The 15478-nt window shown below is 49.1% G+C and overlaps 1 protein-coding gene across 12 annotated transcripts in view, besides 7 other annotated features; it reads right to left on the bottom strand.

The window, feature by feature from the left end:
* GMEB1 (glucocorticoid modulatory element binding protein 1) overlaps positions 1-13937 on the bottom strand; it is a 51125-nt gene extending 37188 nt beyond the window's left edge. For 4 of the 12 annotated variants that reach the window (NM_006582.4, NM_001319674.2, XM_011540519.3 and 1 more), the window contains exon 1: positions 13327-13382. The gene's annotated coding sequence lies outside the window, so the exon portion shown is untranslated. Of the gene's footprint in view, positions 1-922; positions 1157-10970; positions 12949-13326; positions 13383-13540 lie in introns of those variants that run through there. The other 8 variants (XM_017000087.2, XM_011540521.4, XM_047438136.1 and 5 more) reach the window with 8 other exon arrangements.
* Positions 426-925: an enhancer, noted in NCBI's record as "H3K27ac hESC enhancer chr1:29007753-29008252 (GRCh37/hg19 assembly coordinates)". NCBI's record gives its function as "activates a minimal SCP1, AML or CMV promoter by ChIP-STARR-seq in naive H9 embryonic stem cells {active_cell/tissue: H9 hESC(naive)}" and the evidence as "EXISTENCE:reporter gene assay evidence [ECO:0000049][PMID:30033119]".
* Positions 10124-10642: an enhancer, noted in NCBI's record as "H3K4me1 hESC enhancer chr1:28998036-28998554 (GRCh37/hg19 assembly coordinates)". NCBI's record gives its function as "activates a minimal SCP1, AML or CMV promoter by ChIP-STARR-seq in primed H9 embryonic stem cells {active_cell/tissue: H9 hESC(primed)}" and the evidence as "EXISTENCE:reporter gene assay evidence [ECO:0000049][PMID:30033119]".
* Positions 12141-12200: an enhancer, noted in NCBI's record as "active region_603". NCBI's record gives its function as "activates an Ori minimal core promoter by ATAC-STARR-seq in GM12878 lymphoblastoid cells {active_cell/tissue: GM12878}" and the evidence as "EXISTENCE:reporter gene assay evidence [ECO:0000049][PMID:35858748]".
* Positions 12251-12300: an enhancer, noted in NCBI's record as "active region_602". NCBI's record gives its function as "activates an Ori minimal core promoter by ATAC-STARR-seq in GM12878 lymphoblastoid cells {active_cell/tissue: GM12878}" and the evidence as "EXISTENCE:reporter gene assay evidence [ECO:0000049][PMID:35858748]".
* Positions 12831-13120: a silencer, noted in NCBI's record as "silent region_547". NCBI's record gives its function as "represses an Ori minimal core promoter by ATAC-STARR-seq in GM12878 lymphoblastoid cells {active_cell/tissue: GM12878}" and the evidence as "EXISTENCE:reporter gene assay evidence [ECO:0000049][PMID:35858748]".
* Positions 13131-13240: a silencer, noted in NCBI's record as "silent region_546". NCBI's record gives its function as "represses an Ori minimal core promoter by ATAC-STARR-seq in GM12878 lymphoblastoid cells {active_cell/tissue: GM12878}" and the evidence as "EXISTENCE:reporter gene assay evidence [ECO:0000049][PMID:35858748]".
* Positions 13271-13410: a silencer, noted in NCBI's record as "silent region_545". NCBI's record gives its function as "represses an Ori minimal core promoter by ATAC-STARR-seq in GM12878 lymphoblastoid cells {active_cell/tissue: GM12878}" and the evidence as "EXISTENCE:reporter gene assay evidence [ECO:0000049][PMID:35858748]".

Raw genomic sequence — 15478 nt, 5'->3', positions numbered from 1 at the left:
AGTTATTAGTCTTCACAGTTGAAAAGAGAGAGTCACTTAAGAGAGTATAGGTAAGAGCACTGTATTTATTTTAATATATGAGTATGTAAAGATGACTACGACTGTGCCCAAACAGAGTAGGCACACAATGGATGCAAGTTTGAGTACAAAACGTGTAGTCAGGGCCGTGCGTGGTGGCTCACACCTGTAATCCCAGCACTTTTGGAGGCCTAGGCGGGTGGATCACCTGAGGTTGGGAGTTCGAGACCAGCCTGACCAACCTGGAGAAACCCTGTCTCTACTAAAAATACAAAAAATTGGCCTGGCGCGGTGGTACATGCCTGTAATCTGAGCTACTTGAGAGGCTGAGGCAGGAGAATCGCTTGAACCCAGGAGGTGGAGATTGCGGTGAGCCGAGATCATGCCATTGCACTCCAGCCTGGGCAACAAGAGCGAAACTCCGTCTCAAAGAAAAAAAAAGTGTAGTCAGAAGATCTAATCCACATCTCACCTCTCCCACAGCACTTGTTTGCCTAAAACACACATACTTAAGCACGGCACTCTGAATTCCCTCAATGGTCCCAAAATACTCATCTGGTCTTACCTGCAACTATCATACCCCAAGAATCTTAAGTCCTAATACCATACCAGCCACCTAATGTACTCTGAGCATAGCATAATGTACCTTTATATTTCTTTGCCCTTTATTCCTTAAGCCTGAAATGTCTTTAATGCCTTTCTCCCTCATCTTCTCCCTTCAAAGTCCAGTTCAAAGCTCACTTCTCCACAAAGCCACTGCTAAACTATTTTCTTTTTTTTGAGACGCGGTCTCGCTCCGTTGCCCAGACTGGAGTTCTGTGGCACGATCTTGGCTCACTGCAACCTCTGCCTCCCAGGTTCAAGCAATTCTCTTTCCCTTCCTTTTTGGCTAGTCCCTGCTAACCATTTTGTGATTTACTTGAAACATCACTTCCTTGGGGAGGCCTTCTGTGAATTCCTTCACTAGGTTTGAGTTTGTGTTCTTGATCTCTCAGCACCTGCAGTACCCCCGTCACAACCATCATCTCACTTTGTTGGCTTTTCCTCCTCAGTCTGTACGTCCTGGAAAAGCAAGGATTGTGTTTTGTTTTGTTTTGTTTTTTTAGACAGAGTTTCGTTCTTGTTGCCCAGGCTGGAGTACAATGGCACAATCTCAGCTCACTATAACCTCCGCCTTCTGGGTTCAAGTGATTCTCCCACCTCAGCCTCCACAGTAGCTGGGATTACAGGCATGCCCCACCATGTCCAGCTAATTTTTATATTTTTAGTAGAGATGGGGTTTCTCCATGTTGGTCAGGTTGGTCTTGAACTCCCAACCTCAGGTGATCTGCCCACCTCGGCCTCCCAAAGTGCTGGGATGAGCCACCATGCCTGGCCAAGGATTCCAAGGATTGCTTTTCTTTTTTTTTTTTAAAGATGGAGTCTTGCTGTGTTCCCCAGACTGGAGTGCAGTGGCATGATCTCAGCTCACTACCACCTCCCTTTCCTAGGTTCAAGCGATTCTCCTGCCTCAGCCTCCTGAGTAGCTGGGACTTTAGGCACGCACCACCACGCCCAGCTAATTTTTGTATTTTTAGTACAGACTGGGTTTCACCATATTGGCCAGGATGGTCTTGATCTCTTGACCTCGTGATCCGCCTACCTCAGCCTCCCAAAGTGCTAGGATTATAGGTATGAGCCACTGCGCCTGGCCAGGATTGCTTTTCTTATTCAGCAATTCCCCCAAGGCTACCACAGTGCCCAGGACAGGAGTGTAATAAATGGTTTTCAAATATCAGACTTACATTTTATCTACAAAACTGCTTATCTAAACCTTTGTAAACAAATCTGAGCACACAGCAGATATGCAATACATTTTTGTCCAATTAGTGACTCAACCTAAAAGACTTCTAGAATTTTCTTTTTTATTTTTATATGTATTTATTTAAAGATAGAGACAGGATCTCACTATGTTGCCCAGGCTGGTCTTGAACTCCTGGCTTCAAGTGATCATCCGGCCTTGGCCTCCCAAAGTGTTGTGATTACAAGTGTGAGCCATCTGGCCAGGAGGGGTGGCTCACGCCAGTAATCCCTGCACTTTGGGAGGCCGAGGCAGGCGGATCACCTGAGGTCGGGAGTTGGTGACTAGCCTGACCAACATGGAGAAACCCCATCTCTACTAAAAATACAAAACAATTAGCCAGGCGTGGTGGCGCTTGCCTATAATCCCAGCTACTTGGGAGGCTCAGGCAGGAGAATTGCTTGAACCCGGGAGGCAGAGGTTGTGGTGGGTGAACCGAGATCGTGCCATTGGACTCCAGCCCGGACAACAAGAGTGAAACTGCCACTCAAAAAAAAAAAAAAAAGTGTGAGCCATCATGCCTGGCCCCTTCTAGAACTTTCTGCCTTCCTATCTGGGAGGGATATAAATTTGCTTAGGCAGCTAGGCTAAGCTATACAGCTTATGGCTCATCATTATGGCCAGTTCAACAAATATTATATTGAGTCTCTACCTCACATCAGCTAGAGTTAGATTCCTTAGATATGAGGAGCAACAATACCTGCTCTTGAGAAACTACAGAAGGAAAAGAGATACATGACACTATTGGATATGCAGGGAAAAAATTAACTGCAAGATATTACAGTACAGAATATGAACTCCTGCAACTTGAAGCCTTAAAACTAGAAAGGGGCCAGGCACAGTGGCTCACACCTGTAATCCCAATACTTTGGGAGGCCAAGACCGGTGGATCACTTGAGGTCAGGAGTTCGAGACCACCTTGGCCAGCAGGGTGAAACCCCATCTCTACTAAAAATATAAGTATTAGCAAAGTGTGTTGGTGGGCGCCTGTAATCCCATCTACTCAGGAGGCTGAGGGAGGAGAATTCATTGAACCCAGGAGGTGGAGGTTGCAGTGAGCCAAGATGGTGCCACTGCACTCCAGCCTGGGCAAGAAAGCGAAACTCCATCTCAAAAAAAAAAAAGGTCAGGTGTGGTGGCTCATGCCTGTGATCCCAGCATTTTGGGAGGTCGAGACGGGCGGATCACGAGATCAAGAGATTGAGACCATCCTGACCAACATGGTGAAACCGTCTCTGCTAAAAATACAAAAATTAGCCAGGCATAATTAGCCGGAGGTTGAGGCAGGAGAATTGCTTGAACCCGGGAGGCAGAGGTTACAGTGGGCCAAGATCACGGCACTGCACTCCAGCCTGGCGACAGAGCGAGACTCCGTCTCAAAAAAACAAAACAAAACAAAACAAACAAACAAAAAAAACAACTAGAAAAGGGCCAGGCACCGTGGCTGATACCTAGCACTTTGGGAGGCTGAGGTGGGCGGATTGCTTAAGCTCAGGAGTTCAAGACCAGCCTGGGCAACATGGTGAGACTCTGTCTCTACTAAAAGTACAAAAATTAACCGGGTGTGGTAACGTGAACCTGTAGTCCCAGCCACTCAGGAGGCAGAGGTTGCAGTGAGCCAAGATCGTGCCACTGCACTTCAGCTTAGGTGACAAAGCAAGAGTCTGCCTCAAAATAAAATTATATAAAACTAGAAAAGAGACGGACGCGGTGGCTCGCACCTGTAATCCCAGCACTTTGGGAGGCCGAGGCAGGCGGATCATGAGCTCAGGAGATCAAGACCATCCTGGCTAACATGGTAAAACCCCATCTCTACTAAAAATACAAAAAATTAGCCAGGCGCGATGGCGGGCCCCTGTAGTCCAAGCTACTCGGGAGGCTGAGGCAGGAGAATGGCGAACCCCAGAGGCGGAGCTTGCAGTGAGCCAAGATTGCGCCACTGCACTCCAGCCTGGGCGACAGAGCGAGACTCCGTCTCAAAAAACAAACAAACAAACAAACAAACAAAAACACTAGAAAAGAAAATCAAGGGTCTCCTCTCTTGGCTTTGGAGCCCCCTTCCCTCTGTCTCTGTAAGGGGAGCTTCTTCCTTTCTTCTCCTTTCTTTTTTTTTTTTTTGAGACGAAGTCTCACTCTTATACCCCAGGCTGGAGTGCAGTGGTGTGGTGTGATCTAGGCTCACTGCAACCTCCACCTCTCGGGTTCAAGCAATTCTCCTGCCTCAGCCTCCCGAGTAGCTGGGATTACAGGGACCTGCCACCACACCCGGCTAATTTTTGTATTTTTAGTAGAGACGGGAGTTCACCATGTTGGCCAGGCTGGTCTCAAACTCCTGACCTCAGGTGATCCGCCTGCCTTGGCCTCCCAAAGTGCTGGGATTACAAGCGTGAGCCACCATGCCCGGCCTCTTCTCCCTTCTTTCTTGCCTATTAAACTCTCCACTCCTTAAAACCAAAATAAAATAAAATAAGATAAAATAAAAATCAATGAACTGGTTCAGCTGGCTACCAACAGTAGAACCAAAACAATTAAGACCCTCGAGTCTAGAAAAGGCCAAAAAGGAATGTGATAAAGCATACAAATACCATCTAATCCTAGAATAACTGAACCCATAAATATCTTCAAAATTTGAACCATAAAAATGTAGGCGGAATTAAAAGAATCAGCTAACCTTTATTGAGCTAGCACTCATTGTCAAGCACCGTGCTATAACACATTTAATTTAAAAGATGTAATACTTTGGCAAGTAGCAAACTTATGGAATCATTATTCCAAAAATGTGCTTTAAATTTTCAAAAATTACAGATTATGGGCCAGGCACGGTGGCTCACGCCTGTAATCCCAGCACTTTGGGAGGCCAAGGCAGGCGGATCGCAAAGTCAGGAGATCAAGACCATCCTGGCTAACACGGGGAAACCCTGTCTCTGCTACAAATGCAAAAAATTAGCCAGACGTGGTGATGGGCGCCTGTAGTCCCAGCTGAGATCGTGCCACTGCACTCCAACCTGGGCGACAGAGCAATACTCCATCTCCAAAAAAAAAAGAAAAAAAAAATTACAGATTATGCATCCCTTATTTGAAATGCTTGAGATCAGAAGTGCCTCAAATTTCAGATTTTTTTTTTTAATTTTGGCATATTTACATAATGTGATATCTGGGGGATAGGACACAAGTCTAAACACAAAATTCAAAATTCGATTATGTTTCACATACATCTTACACACATAGCCTGATGGCAATTCTTTTTTATTTTTGAGACAAAGTCTCGATTTTTCACCCAGGCTGCTGTTCAGTGATGCAATTTCAGCTCACTGCAACCTCTGCCTCCTGGGTTCAAGTGATTCTCCTGCCTCAGCCTCCAGAGTAGCTGAGATTACAGGTGCCCGCCACCATGTCTAGCTAATCTTTTTGTATTTTTAGTAGAGTCAGGGTTTCACCATCTTGGCCAGGCTGGTCTTGAACTCCACTCACCTCAGCCTCCCAAAGTGCTGAGATTACAGGCATGAGCCATGGCGCCCGGCCACTTGATGGCAATTTCATACAATATCTTTATTTGTATTTATTTATTTATTTATTTTTTTTTGAGACGGAGTCTTGCTCTGTCACCCAGGCTGGAGTGCAGCGCCCTGATCTCGGCTCACTGAAGGCTCCGCCTCCGGGTTCATGCCATTCTCCTGCCTCAGCCTCCCAAGTAGCTGAGACTACAGGCGCCTGCCACCATGCCGCCTAATTTTTTGTATTTTTAGTAGAGACAGGGTTTCACCGTGTTAGTCAGGATGGTCTCGATCTCCTGGCCTCGTGATCCACCCACCTTGGCCTCCCAAAGTGTTGGGATTACAGGCGTGAGCCACCACGCCTGGCCAATTTTATACAATATTTTTAATAATTTTGTGAATGAAACAGAGCCTGCGTTAACTACTAATCTGTGGGATTTTTTCACTTATGCCATCATGTTGGCTCAAAAATTTTCAGATTTTGGAGATTTGGGGTTTCAGATTTTCAGATTAGGGATACTCAACCTATAATACCTTAGGCAAAAAAAATGGGTTAGTTAATTGTTAAAGAAGCAGATTTAGAAGGATGCTTCTAATTTCAACTTTCTACCCTAAGCTAAGTCCCCTCTACAACATTCTGAATAGATGGTTGACTAACTTCTTAATACCTTCCTCAATAGGAACTCACATTTTACTCTTTACCCACACCATACATTAGTACCCAAGAGGAATGTTCTGGCTTCTTCTCTAGCCTTCTGAGAGTTTATCAGAGAGGATAATTATAATCATCCACAATACATCTCTCAATGTCACTCTAAGTCATGGGTCTGATTCAACATGGCAATTCTGACCTTCTTTAGAGAAGCAAGTTTGGGTTAAGTATCACTCATTACCCTAAATACCATATTCCTTGCAGGTAACCTGAAACCAACTCTAAATGCAAGGTCATCTCTAAGCTGAGTGTAAATGGAAAAGTAGCTCTTGTTTACAGCAACAAAAACTCCTGAGGCAAGATGAGTGAGTTGATCGTTCGGGGCTTTGGAGTATGCATTGTGAAATCATACAACTCTCTCTGGAATTCTTTTTTCTTTTTTTAATTTAAACTTGCTTTTCTTTTCTTTTTTTTTTTTTTTTGAGACAGAGTCTCACTCTGTTGCCCAGGCTGGAGTGCAGTGGCGGGATCTCCGCTCACTGCAACTTCTGCCTCCTGGGTTCAAGCGATTGTTGTGCCTCAGCCTTCCGAGTAGCAGCTGGGATGACATGTGCACACCACCATGCTCGGCTTTTTTTATTTTTAGTAGTGACGGGGTTTCACCACGTTGGCCAGGCTGGTGTCAGAACTCCTGGTCTCAAGTGATCTGCCCGCGCCTGTCTCCCACAGTGCTGGGATTACAGGAGTGAGCCACCCCGGCCGATCTCTCTCTGGAATTCTATGTGAACACATGTAAAAGAAATATGCCAAATTTATGTGAAATGCTTAAGAATTAACTATTGTGGGGCCGGGCGCGGTGGCTCACGCCTGTAATCCCAGCACTTTGGGAGGCCAAGGCAGGTGGATCACAAGGTCAGGAGATCAAGACCATCCTGGCTAACATGGTGAAACCTCGTCTCTACTAAAAATACAAAAAATTAGCTCAGCGTGGTAGCGCACGCCTGTAGTCCCAGCTACTTGGGAGGCTGAGGCAGGAGAATGGCGTGAACCCAGGAGGCAGAGCTTGCAGTGAGCCAAGATGGAGCCACTGCACTCCAGCCTGGACGACAGAGCAAGACTCCGTCTCAAAAAAAAAAAAAAAAAGGCCGGGCGCGGTGGCTCACGCCTGTAATCCCAGCACTTTGGGAGGCCGAGGCGGGCGGATCACGAGGTCAGGAGATCGAGACCATCCCGGCTAAAAACGGTGAAACCCCGTCTCTACTAAAAATACAAAAAATTAGCCGGGCGTAGTGGCGGGCGCCTGTAGTCCCAGCTACTTGGGAGGCTGAGGCAGGAGAATGGCGTGAACCCGGGAGGCGGAGCTTGCAGTGAGCCAAGATCCCGCCACTGCACTCCAGCCTGGGCGACAGAGCGAGACTCCGTCTCAAAAAAAAAAAAAAAAAAAAAAAAAAAAGAATTAACTATTCTGGCCGGGCACGGTGGCCCACACCTGTAATCCCAGCACTTTGGGAGGACCAGGCAGTCAGATCACCTGAGGTCGGGAGTTAAGAGACCAGCCTGACAAACATGGAGAAACCCCATCTCTACTAAAAATACAAAATTAGCCAAGCGTGGTGGCCCATGTCTGTAATCTCAGCTACTCGGGAGGCTGAGGTAGGAGAATCACTTGAGCCCAGGAGGCGGAGGTTGCAGGTGAGCCAAGATTGTGCCTTTGTACATGGGGAACAGAGGGAGACTCCGTCTCAAAAAAATAAATAAATAAATAAATAAAATTAACTGTTCCGTAGTTTTTTGGGTTTTTGTTTTCTTTCGTTTTGTTTTTTGAGACAGGGTCACCCTCTGTCACCCAGACCAGTGTGGAGTACAGTGTTTTTGGCTCACTGCAGCCCCGACCTTGGGGCCTCAAGTGATCCTCCCACCTCAGCCTCTGGAGTAGCTGGCACTATGGGTACCAACCACCAACCCTGCTCATTTCTGTTTTCCTTTTTTTCATTAACTTTTTTTTTTTTTTTCAGACGGAGTCTCGCTCTGTCACCCAGGCTGGAGTGCAATGGCAGGGTCTTGGCTCACTGCAACCTCCACCTCCCTAGTTCAAGCAATTCTGTCTCAGCCTCAGCCTCCCGAGTAGCTGGGATTACAGGTGCCCGCCACCATGCCTGGCTAATTTTTTGTATTTTTAGTAGAGACAGGGTTTCATCATGTTGGCCAGGCTGGTCTTGAACTCCTGACCTCGTGATCCACCCACCACGGCCTCCCAAAGTGCTGGGACAGGCATGAGACACCACGCCTGGCCTAATTTCTTTACTTCTTTGTAGACATGAGGTCTTGCTATGTTGCCTAGCCTGGTGTCAAACTCCTGGGCTCAAGCAATCCTCTCACCTCGGCCTCCCAAAGTGCTGAGATTAAAGACCTGAGCGACTGTGCCCAGCCTGTAGTTATTTCCAAAGACAAAAACAACACTTTGAAACTAAGCACATCGCTGCTTATATAGCCACCAGAAAACTAAACAAATGATTTCTGACCCACTCTAAATTCATTTTTGTGTGTCCTGAAAATCCAATGTCTATAATGTGGCAAGATGCTATGTTTGAATAAGGACAAGTGTCAGGCTGCACGCAGTGGCTCACGCCTGTAATCCCAGCACTTTGGGAGGCCAAGGAGGGTGGATCACAAGGTCAGGGGTTCGAGACCAGCCTGGCCAACATGGTGAAACCCCGTCTCTACTAAAAATACAAAAATTAGCCAGGCGTGGTTGTGGGTGCCTGTAATCCCAGCTACTCAGGAGGCTGAGGCAGGAGAATCGCTTGAACCCAGGAGGCGGAGGTTACAGTGAGACAAGAACGCGCCACAGCCACTGCACTCCAGCCTGGAAACTCCATCTCAAAAAAACAAACAAACGAAAAATGGACAAGTGTCACATGATTGCAGGGAAGGACATTGGAACTAGTAATGAAAAAGGAGTAATACTGGCTGGGCGCAGTGGCTCACACCTGTAATCCCAGCACTTCGGGAGGCCGAGGCAGGCGGATCACCTGAGGTGGGGAGTTCAAGACCAGCTGGCCAACATGGAGAAACCACGTCTCTACTAAAAATACAAAATTAGCCGGGCGTAGTGGCACATGCCTGTAATCCTATCTACTCGGGAAGCTGAGGCAGGAGAACCACTTGAACCCGGGAGGCAGAGGTTGCGCTGAGCCGAGATCGCGCCACTGCACTCCAGCCTGGGCAACAAGAGCAAAACTCAAAAAAAAAAAAATTATCTGGGCATGGTGGCATGTGCCTGTAGTCCCAGTACTCGGGAGGCTGAGGCAGGAGAATCACTTGAACCCAGGAGGAGGAGGTTGCAGTGAGCTGAGATTGTGCCACTGCACTCCAGCCTGGCAACAGAGCGAGACTCCGTCAAAACAAAAAAAAAAAAAAAAAAAGGAACAATATGTCACCCAGGCCAGAGTGGGGAGGGATAGCATTAGTAGATATACCTAATATAAATGACGAGTTAATGGGTGCAGCACACCAACATGGCACATGTATACATATGTAACAAACCTGCACGTTGTGCACATGTACCCTAGAACTTAAAGTATAATAACAAAAAATAATAATAATAATATTGGCACTTTCTGGGGACTTAAAAAAGTAGGCCGGGCGTGGTGGCTCAAGCCTGTAATCCCAGCACTTTGGGAGGCTGAGGCGGGCGGATCACGAGGTCAGGAGATGGAGATCATCCTGGCTAACACGGTGAAACCCCATCTCTACAAAAAATACAAAAAAAAAAAATTAGCTGGGAGTGGTGGCGGGAGAGTAGTCCCAGCTACTCGGGAGGCTGAGGAGGAGAATGGCGTGAACCCGGGAGGCGGAGCTTGCAGTGAGCCAAGATCGCGCCATTGCACTCCAGCCTGGGCGACAGAGTGAGACTCCGTCTCAAAAATAAATAAATAAATAAATAAATAAATAAATAAATAAAAATAAAAGTTAAAAAAAAAAGTAAAAATGAGTACGAGATTTTCTGAAATTTTCTAACCCCAAAATATTTATTTAATTTTTTTTTTGAGACGGAGTTTCTCTCTTGTTGCCCAGGCTGGAGTGCAATGGCACGGTCTCGGCTCACTGCAACTTCCGCCTCCCAAGTTCAAGCAATTCTCCTGCCTCCCAAGGAGCTGGGATTACAAGCATCTGCCACCACGCCCAGCTAATTTTTGTATTTTTTAGTAGAGACAGGGTTTCACCATGTTGGCCAGGTGGGTCTCAAACTCCTGACCTCAGGTGATCCGCCCGCCTCCACCTCCCAAAGTGCTGGGATTACAGGCGTGAGCTACCGCGCCCAGCCCAAAATATTTATTTATTCCACACTCTATTATAACTTTTGAAGACTGTGTAGTCGTTTTATTTTTTATATATTTATTTATTTATTTTTTAGTGAGACATAGTCTCACTCTGTCACCCAGGCCGGAGAGCAGTGGTGCGCTCTCGGCTCACTGCAACCTCGACTTCCGGAGCTCAAGCGATCCTCCCACTTAAGCCTCCAGAGTAGCTGGGACCACAGGCAACTAGCTCCACCACGCCCATCTAATTTTTGTCATTTTTTGTAGAGACGGGGTTTCACCATGTTGCCCAAGCTGGTCTGGAACTCGAGCTAAAGAGAGGCCGAGGAGGCCGCTCACTTTGGGAGGCCGCCTGTCTCGGCCTCCCACAGTGCTGGCATTACAGGCATAAATCACAGCGCCCGCCAGAAAACTAACAAAATTAGGCGGGCGCAGTGCCACGCACCTGTAGTCCCAGCTACTCAGGAGGCTGAGCTGAGAGGATCGAGTTTGCAGTGAGCTGAGATCCCGCAATGCACTCTCACCTGGGCAACAGAGGGAAACTCTGTTCCCCCAAAAAAATAAAATAAAAAAGAAATTTCCACTCTAAACTACAGTTTTGTTTAAAACGGGGGGAAAAATCCAAGTTAAAACTTTATTATTACTTGAGGCCAAAACTCCTTGATATCCCCTTTATTTCTTCTCATGCATTCAGTGGGTGATCCATAGTGCTACAAGATGTAATGAGGTCAACAAGTAAATTATGCAGAAACACTGAGGGAAGTATCCAGAGGAGGTGAAATTCTAAGTCACAGACTGGAGACTATTATGTAGATGTTTGAGGGAGCGATGGGATAAGAGTTATTTGGAGTCATCCCGCTACAGTCCGGTGGACTTTGGCTTAGGGCAAGACCAAAATACTGCCCCCACAATAAACCCAATGAAGCTGAGTAGAAGCTACCTATACAATGTATTTGCTGAAGTAAATAGGAACCCAAAAAAAATCATTTAAGTAAGATATTAAATATACATCCTTGATATAAGGCTCTCAAATTAGGAGACGGTGCAACCATTGAATAAGTTTCCCCCGCCGGGCGCAGTGGCTCACGCCTGTAATACCAGCACTTTAGGAGGCCAACGCGGGCGAATCACAAGGTCAGGAGATCGAAACCATCCTGGCTAACATGGTGAAACCCCGTCTCTACTAAAAACACAAAAAAATTAGCCTGGTTGGGCCAGGCGCAGTGATTCACGCCTGTAATCCCAGTACTCTGGGAGGCTGAGGATGTGGGATCACCTGAGGTTGGGAGTTCGAGACCAGCCTGGCCAACATGGTGAAACCCCGTCTCTATTAAAAATACAAAAATTAGCTGGGTGTGGTGGCGGGCGCCTGTAGCCCCAGCTACTCGGGAGGGTGAGGCAGGAGAATCGCTTGAACCCAAGAGGCGGAGGTTGCAGTGAGCTGAGATCGCGCCATTGCACTCCAGTCTGGGCAACAGGAGTGAAACTCCGTCTCAAACAACAACAACAACAACAACAAAATTGGCTGGTGTGGTGGCACGCGCCTGTAGTCCCAGCTACTCGGGAGGCTGAGGCAGGAGAATCGTTTGAACCCAGGAGGCGGAAGTTGCAGTGAGCCACCACTCCAGCCTGGGCGATAGAGTGAGACTCCGTCTCAAAAAACAAATAAATAAATAAATAAATAAAAAGGGTCCCCAAATGCACTTTGGTAACTATTAGAAGAGGCAAGGAGGAAGAAGATAATCCCTCAAGACTAGAATTATGTCTGACAGTCTCTTTTCCTAAAACCCGTCTTGATTGGCCTAAACAGACACCAATCAAGGCCCCATCTGTGTCTACTAGGAAGTGGTTTTGAGATTTCTCTCATCTTGAGAGAATCCAGGGCTGCGCCTGCTCTGCTGTCTAGGTCAAGACTTCACCCTCTTGTCTTGTGGATCATCCTCCAAAGACCCTCGGGTTGAGATTTTGCCTTCATCTCTCCTGCCCCTCAATTAGATAACACCTGGCCAATTCCTGTCATTTCAGAAAGCGGGAACACCTTAAGCATCTTTCCTCAACGATCTCTGCTTCTCTCAAAAAGATAGGTTTCTCCATCCCCTGACCGAGCGGGTTACTTTGTTCTCCACCTAGACATCAAGAGGCACCTAGACACCTTCCATCCCCTCAGGTTTGGACGCTGCTCTTTCGTACTTCAGGAGGCTCTAGGAGTCTTCCTACCACGCGCTCATCTGTGGGGAGACCTGGGCCTGCTCACTTCCCCTTAGAGCTCCTCTTCCTTCCCTGCCTTTGGAAAAAACCTGCCCTTTTTTCCCTTGTTCTGAGTGGCCGAGGCCTCTACCGCGCCCCTCGGGATAAGCTGGACTCTGCTCTCCTCAGAAGAACCCACTCTGTACTCTTGCTCTCCCGCCAAGGCTCCGAGAGGGTCTCCTCCCAGGCGGGCATCCGGGCTTCCAGCACCTATCGTCCCCCTCCCACTGGGCAGGACCCAGGCCTCCAACCAGCTCCTCATCCAAGGGCCCGGTGCTCCCCGGACCCCGCCTTTGGGGATACCCCAGGCTCCCCGGACCCCTCGATGGGGTCCTGGGCGCCTGGCCCTCTCAGTCCGGAGTCACTCCGGCCCCTCCTGGCCCCTGAGCCGAGTACTTCCGGGCCCCTCGGTCCGGGGGCGCCGGGGCCCCCCCAGTGGTGGACTCGCCGGTTCCCGCCGCCCTGGTCTGGGGCCCGAGCCCCGGCGGCGCGGCCGGCTGCGCTGGGGGCGGCCCGGCGGCTCGGGCGGACCCAGCGGCAGCGTCCCCCCACCCCCCCGCGGCGCCGCGACGTCCGCTCGCTCCCCGGCGGCGGCGGCGGCACGCACAGGGCGTGGGGAGGCGCCCGCGGAGGCAGCAGCCCCCCGCCCCCTGCGCGCCCGCCCGCCCTCGCCGGCCGCCGCGCGGCCCCCGCGCCCGCCCCCCCGCCCCCACCCCACCCCGCGCCCGCGCGCCCACCCCTCCCCCTCCTCACCGTCTCCGTCGGGCGGGCGGGCGGCGAGCGGCCAGGGCGGGCAGGCGACGGAGCATGCGCAGAGGCCGCCACGGCAGCTACCGCCACCGCCGCCGCCAGGCCGGGCTTCAACACTTCCGGCCGCCGCCGCCGGAGAGCTGGCGCCTTAAAGGGGACGCGTCCCTATTGCCGGTCCCACCGAGGATTAACCTTAGCCAAGGGATTTGGGCCTTACCTAAGCAGAATTCTTTCGCCCTTGAAAATCAGTGTTGGAAAGGTCGCTAGAGACCCCAGTAACTCTCCTTCCCGCACTCATAGATGAGGAAAATAGGCCCTAAATGAAAGAATCACCTCAACCACAATTGAGGGCCAAGCTAGCTTTCTCGACTCCTCTGGAGGACTCTACTCCATTTACCTCCCCAAATCCTGTTTTATGAAGTTTACATCTTATCGGACCCTTCAAGTTACAATCCAGCTATCAGTTTGCAATCAGAAGATCTGCATAGATCAGTAACTGGTCACGAGTCCTTGAGCAAGCCCTAAGCATTGTCTGACCCGTGCCTGTTTGCCAAGTTTTTCCTGCTTGTGAGTTTCTGGGTTGAAGTCTTGACTCCCCTGCTGGAAGTGTAAACGACTCTGGAGGAATTTCTTGACAGCTCTAAACCTGTTTCCGATAAGACATAATGTGAGTGCTAAAGAAGGTGATACCTGCATGAAAAGTGCTTCAGAGAGTTCCTGGGGTCAGTAATAGTAATTAACAAGTATTAAGACCTTTATTTTTTATTTATTTATTTATTTTTTTAGACAGAGTCTTGCTCTTTGGCCAGGCTGGAGTGCAGTGGCGCGATCTCGGCTCACTGCAGCTTCAGCCTCCTGGGTTCAAGTGATTCTCCGGCCTCAGCCTCCCGAAGAGCTGGCACTAGAGGCGCGCGACACCACGCCCGGCAATTTTTTTTTTTTTTTGTATTTTAGTAAAGACAGGATTTCACCATGTTGGCCAGGATGGTCTCAATATCTGACCTCATGATCCACCCGCCTGGGCCTCCCAAAGAGCTGGGATTACAGGCGTGAGCCACCGCGCCCGGCCGTATTAAGACCTTTCTATGGCCAGGTGTGGTGGCTTACGCCTGTAATCCCACACTTTGGGAAGCCGAGGCGGACAGATCACTTGAGACCAGGAGTTCGAGACCAGCCTGGGCAACATGGTGAAACCCCGTCTCTACTAAAAATACAGAAATTAGCCGGGCGTCGTGGCACGCGCCTCTAGTCCCAGCTACTCAGAAGGCTGAGCCAGGAGAATCACTTGAACCCGGGAGGCGGAGGTTGCAGTGAGCCGAGATCAGGCCATTGCACTCCAGCCTGGGCAACAGAGTGAGACTCTATCTCAAAAAACAAACAAACAAAAAGACCTTTCTATGGCCTATGGCTTGGTGAAGATGCTTCTGTCTTGTATAATCCTCACAGCAACCCTACTAAGTAAGTTTCTCTTTTTTTTTTTTTTTGAGACGGAGTCTTGCTCTGTCGCCCAGGCCGGAGTGCAGTGGCGCAATCTCGGCTCACTGCAAGCTCCGCCTCCTGGGTTCACACCATTCTCCTGCCTCAGTCTCCTCAGTAGCTAGGACTACAGGCGTCCGCCACTACGCCTGGCTAATTTTTTTGTATTTTTTAGTAGAGACAGGGTTTCACCGTCTTAGCTAGGATGGTCTCGATCTCCTGACCTTGTGATCCGTCCGCCTCAGCCTCCCAAAGTGTTGAATTACAGGCGTGAGCCACCGCGCCCGGCCCTTCTTTTCTTTTCTTTCTTTTTTTCTTTTTTTTGGTGGGGGGGACCGGTCTGGGTTGATCTCCCAGGCTGAGTGCAGTGGCGGGATCTCGGCTCACTGCAGCCCCAGCCTCCAGTGCTCAAGCAGTCCTCCTGCCTCAGCCCCCGGAGTAGCTGGGACCACAAGCAGGAACCACCATGCCTGGCTAATTTTTACATTTTTAGTAGAAATGGGGTTTTACCATGTTGCCCACTCTGGTCTCTAACTCCTGGGCTCAAGCAATCCTCCTGCCTTGGCCTCCCAAAGTGCTGGGATTACAGGTGTGAGCCACCATAATTGTTTGTTTATTGATTGATTGATTTGGAGACGGAGTCTCGGTCTGTGCAGTGGTGCGATCTTGGCTGCCTCCC

The sequence above is a fragment of the Homo sapiens genome, chromosome 1 (genome assembly GCF_000001405.40).
Source record: "Homo sapiens chromosome 1, GRCh38.p14 Primary Assembly".
Classification (NCBI taxonomy): Eukaryota; Metazoa; Chordata; class Mammalia; order Primates; family Hominidae; genus Homo; species Homo sapiens.
Note: the sequence above shows the minus strand (reverse complement) of the source record. Positions and strands in the feature narration are given on the sequence as shown.